Source organism: Homo sapiens, chromosome 15, assembly GCF_000001405.40.
Source record: "Homo sapiens chromosome 15, GRCh38.p14 Primary Assembly".
Taxonomy (NCBI): Eukaryota; Metazoa; Chordata; class Mammalia; order Primates; family Hominidae; genus Homo; species Homo sapiens.
The window spans coordinates 30,004,952-30,010,387 of record NC_000015.10 but is presented as its reverse complement, the minus strand read 5'-3'; the positions used below and the strand labels follow the sequence as shown (position 1 = coordinate 30,010,387).

At 42.4% G+C, this 5,436-nt stretch overlaps 1 pseudogene; it reads right to left on the bottom strand.

Annotated features, from left to right (window-relative positions):
• On the bottom strand, window positions 3,950–5,184 carry NCAPGP2 (non-SMC condensin I complex subunit G pseudogene 2; annotated as a pseudogene).

The window sequence follows — 5,436 nt, the reverse complement described above, 5'->3', positions numbered from 1 at the left end:
TCTGATATTAGTACAGCCACTTTGGCTCTCCCAAAGTTAATGCTTGCATGAGATATCTTTACCATCCTTTTATCTCGAAACTCTTTGAATCAAAGTCACGTCTCTTTTAAAGAGCACATACTAGGTGGGTCTTGTTTTTTGATTTTTTTTTTTTTTTTTTTGAGACGGAGTCTTGCTCTGTCATCCAGGCCGAAGTGCAGTGGCTCCATCTGGGCTCACTGCAAGCTCCGCCTCCCGGGTTCACGCCATTCTCCTGCCTCAGCCTCCAGAGTAGCTGGGACCACAGGCGCCCGCCACCACACCCGGCTAATTTTTTTAGTAGAGACGGGGTTTCACCGTGTTAGCCAGGATGGTCTCGATCTCCTGACCTCGTGATCCACCCTCTTTGGCCTCGCAAAGTGCTGGAACTACAGGCGTGAGCCACCACACCCGGCCTTTTTTTTTTTTTGGAGACAGAGCCTTGCTCTGTCGCCCAGCCTGGAGTGCAGTGGTGCGATCCTAGCTCACTGCAACTTCCACCTCTAGGGTTCAAGTGATTCTCCTGCCTCAGCCTCCCAAGTAGCTGGAACTACAGGCGCCCGCCGCCATGCCGGGCTAATTTTTTGTATTTTATTAGAGATGGGGTTTCACCGTGTTGCCCAGGCTGGTCTCGAAGTCCTGAGCTCAGGCAATCCACCCGCCTCGGCCTTCCAAAGTGCTAGGATGACAGGCGTGAGCCACCACACCCTGCTAGGTGGGTCTTGTTTTAAAAAATCCAGCCTTGGCCAGACGCGGTGGCTCACGCCGGTAATCCCAGCACTTTGGGGGGCCGAGGCGGGTGGATCACGAGGTCAGGAGTTCAAGACCAGCCTGGCCAAGATGGTGAAACTCTGTCTCTACTAAAAATACAAAAGATTAGCCGGGCGTGGTGGTGGGGCGCCTATAATCCCAGCTACTCAGGAGGCTGAGGCAGAGAATTGCTTGAACTCGGGAGGCAGAGCTGGCAGTGAGCCGAGATCGCACCACTGCACTCCAGCCTGGGCGACAGAGCAAGATTCCATCTCAAAAAAAAAAAAAAAAATCCAGTCTTAACAATCTCTGTCGTTTGATTGGGGTGTCTAATCCATTCACATTTAATGTTATTATTTGTATGGTTGAAATTATATCTGCCATTTCAATATTTATTTGTCATGCTCATGACTTCATTTTGTTAGTCTCGTGACTATTCCTTTTCATTGCTTTCTTTTGTAATAAATAGATACTTTCTACTCTATTATTTTAATTCTTGTAATTTTTGATAGTTTTAATTCTAGTTCTTTTCTTAGGAGTTGCTTCATATCTGAAGCACTTAGGGAGGCAGAGCTGCTATCAAAGCAACCAGTTACCTTGTGGATGAAAACTGCTGTCTGCTCTCTCCCACCTGCTGGAGCCACTGGTTTCTGCTCCAATCTTCCTTTTCAGGGACTGATTTTGCCTAGAGGACCTCCTAAGTCCCAATTTGGCCTGTCGCTCAGGTTCCTGGTTTCAATCTGAGCCTGATGGGCTTAGACTTCTTGACCTGGGGCCCTTTATGCATCACCAGCTATGACCCCAAGCCTTCCTGATCTTTGAGAAGTCCTACTCATCTACCAGAAGCCAGTGACTAAGCTTCTTTTTAGATACAGAAGGCAGAAGCCTGAATCCAATAGATTGGAAAGGTTATTTCAAATGCTATTATTCTCTTATTGCTTTAAAATAGTACTGGAAACAAATGTCTCAGCCCCTACTGCTCCCATACATCATCTCATTAAATCTCTACAAAGTATTAGTTGTGTGCTTTAAATACCCTTGTGCCTGATTTAAGATAAATTATTACAGAAATTGAAACCCTGTTATGATGTGATTATTTAGTGTTAGATTTTTGTGCTATAAAACTACAGAATATCTTAAATATGTTTTCTGATAGATCTAGGGCAGCAAATCCCTTCTGGATATGTTTCTCTGAAATTACACTGAAAGAAATAAACAGCTGTCAGGAGTATGAAGGCTAAACCTTTAGACTGCTGACTCAGTGCTCTGGAAGTTACTATATGTCCTAGAATGAAAGTCACATGCCTTGACATTCAAGTACTCATTTTCTTTTTTGAGGGTCAACATAAATTAGCTGTGTGAGGTTGAAAGGAGGAAGACACACAACTGGCAAATACAAATGCATGTACAATCGCCAGCCTTCTAGTTGTCCAGGAATAGTCAAATATATAGTTAATATTCAAAATTTGGTTAATGCCTCATTTTATAATTGAGAAAACCTATTCTTTTAATGGTTCTCTTTATCTATTGCAGCTACTGAATTATATAATTATTTGTTGCTTTGTCTTGTTTTCTCCTCAAGACTCTATAGAACAGTGGTAATGGAAAGAATAGTCTACAAATATTTAACCAGTGCCTTTTGTCCTTATGCCACATTTCCTTCTAGCCTCTTTCATCTCAAAATCAAGTCAAGGGGTTTATTGCCTGGGGCCGAGAGCAGGTATGTTCTCTCTTGTCAAGAGGCTAGGCTTGAAATCCGTGCTTTGTGGATTTGGTGGATTCTTTCAGCTGCTATTTGAATGGTCTAGGTATGCCTTGCAGCTTAAACCATTTCTTACAGTGGAGATGAAGAGAGTCCTTCCATCCATCTGCTGGACCTGCTGGGCCTCAGGGCTTTCTCTGAAGTGGTAGGGGGAAGATGTCACAGAGGAAATGTAAAGAAAAGTCTACCTCGGCAGTCTACAGCGTGGTGGATAAAAAAAGAGCAGGAAGAGTCTGGCGAGGCGATCAGCCTGATGTAGGTGCTGAGTGTCCCTCACAAAGTCCCAGCATGAAAGGGGTGGCTGAGAGCCGCTGGGTGGGCCCCAAGTCCATGGTGCTAGAGCGAGGTCAGGCTGAGGCAGGGCTGGAGGTGGTTGCATGGATGGCACTACAGGCACTTAGAGGGGTCTAATCTGGGTCCATTGGGGGCTATGCCCCACAAGAGTGGTTCCTGTGCCCACGGGTCCCACCATGAACCCCCCAGCCCCAGGCCTGAGCTCATAAGTAAGCAGGGAGTCCAGAAGCCAAGCAGCCAAGGGCGTCCCTGACACCCAAAGCAATGCCACCACATACAAGGATAGCCAGACGGATCCAAGCTGAGGGCTGGACAGTGCCCACGGAGCCATTTAAAGTCTTGTGTATGTCTTTTTTTCCTCGTTTTTAATTTCATTTGACACTTATGTACAATAAAGTATTGTGTATGTCTAAAGCTTAAATCAGGTGGGCCATTTCCATTTTCCTGGGTTCTGTTGGTTTGTTTGCTTTGTTTTCCTGCTGGTAATAGGTAGTACCTGAGGAAGGCAAGAAAGGATATAAAGAAAATAAGAAACAACACTTTCTCTGCACATCCAAATTGTGGCAAGGATTTTTGCAGGTAAGTTCCAGGTGGACAGGAAGTACATTCATACACACACGTGCACACATCCATCTGCTGGCAGCCTCTGATTTGTGTAGTCGAGGTACAGAACTTAAGAGAAGTGAGAGTCGAAGTAGGGCAAGAGAACATTCACAAATGTCCAACCAGCTCCTGGTCTTTTTTGTTTTTTGTTTTTGTTTTTGACAGATGGTATGGCCCACAAGACCCTAAGATACTTATTATCTGGCACTTAACAGAAAATGTGCCAACCAATTTCAGAAATAATACATCATCATTATCAACTGTATATGCAGAAATGTTCATAATCATATCTTAATAGTTTTGAAGAAATGATCCTAAACATGATTTGCTCTTTCATTATACAGACCAGCACAAGATATACAAGATATTCAAAAAGACTCAATGTATATAACTATCCCGGCATGTACAAAAAAAAAAAAAGGATTTTTAACATATTCACAATCAAGCATGACCTCGAGGAAGGGGGCTGGGAGGTTAACAGTTGCAGCAACACAAGCATTCTCCAAACTAAAAGAAAAAAAAATTTACCTCAGTAAATAGTCTATATATACTACAGGCTCTGGCGAAATCCGCTCTAAAAATTCTTCACCTTCATCTCCTTTTGATTTCAAATATTCACAAAGGGCACACCAATACAAAGCAATTTCAGGAGTTAACGTTTCCACTAGAATCAATTTCCTTCACTTAAAAGAAAGAGTGTAAGAGAAAGCATGATCTTTATATCATTACAAATTGAAGAGAACATAAATAAGAATAAGAAGATTTGCTTTAAAACCACTATCCTTTTAATTAGAGTCATTAACACAGAAAGGAATGAAGGAACTTAGAACAAAAAAGAACCAAATAAGCAAACATATACTAGGGGTGCATGTTGCTGGATTTTCTCATGGTAGGCTAATTCAAAAATCAAAGTAAGAAACCGAGGGGTAGAAAACCACAGCTAAAGTAGATAGTCTAAGATAAAGTAATGAGTTCTTACACCAGGAGGGGAAAAAAGAAGGGAAAGAAGATATTCATCAGACTAAAAGAAAACAAAAGGGAGGTAAGATTAAAGATATTAATATAATCTTAAGCTATGGGGAGGAAAAAAAACAAATTAATTGTAGAAGTTAATCAGTATTACATTTCAAAGAATGAATCCTTTATGTACCTGCCATCATTGTTTTTACAGATTGCCACCAGTTCACTGAGAGGAGTCATTGAAAACATGGCATTGAGGACAGAGACTGCCACTTCAGAATTTTCTACATCCAACTGCTGAAGCCACTCGAAGATATTTCCCTCAGAGAACCATAACCAGCTTTGGAGAAGATGCTTCCACATAGCTTGTTTCACAGCATCTCATCTCTCATTAAAACCTTGTTGAGGGAGCATTACTGTCTGAGCAATGGACATAGCTCTCATACGAACCTTTTCAGCTAACACCGGATAAGCCAGCTTTCTGACAGCCTCTTTCACATCCTTGGTGCACCCTACAATTTTTGGCAAAGTCTTTGCTGATGGTGCAATACATGATAACACTGCCTGTCTAAGTTCTGGATTCAAATCAATCATTTTCGATCAAAGTAGCATATGCATTAACCACTGGGCATTCATCATCCTTTGGATCCTGAAGTCGTGAAAGCGCCAGAACTGCCTGTATTCTCACATTTGGAATCTTATCTTTCAGTCTAATAAGCATGGCTTCATTAATTTTGTCAAACACACCATCATCAATCTGAGCTTCTTCTGGCATACTTCTCAAAAGCTTGTTTATGCAGCTCCTGGTTCTTGAACTAACGTAGGCATCAGCACAGCTGATTCTCATTCAGGAGAAGACAGTGCTGTGCCCAGGGGCCCCTGAGCCATTGCCCAGCTTTCCAGCTTTCCAGGAAGTCTGCACTGGAGAAGCATTCAACCTCCTCTGAGCTAACATTTTCATGTGCACACGTGATTATGAGTGTGATACAGACATTATTTTACTTGTGTAACTAATTTTTAAATCAGACTAATAAAAAAAGTTATCAGTC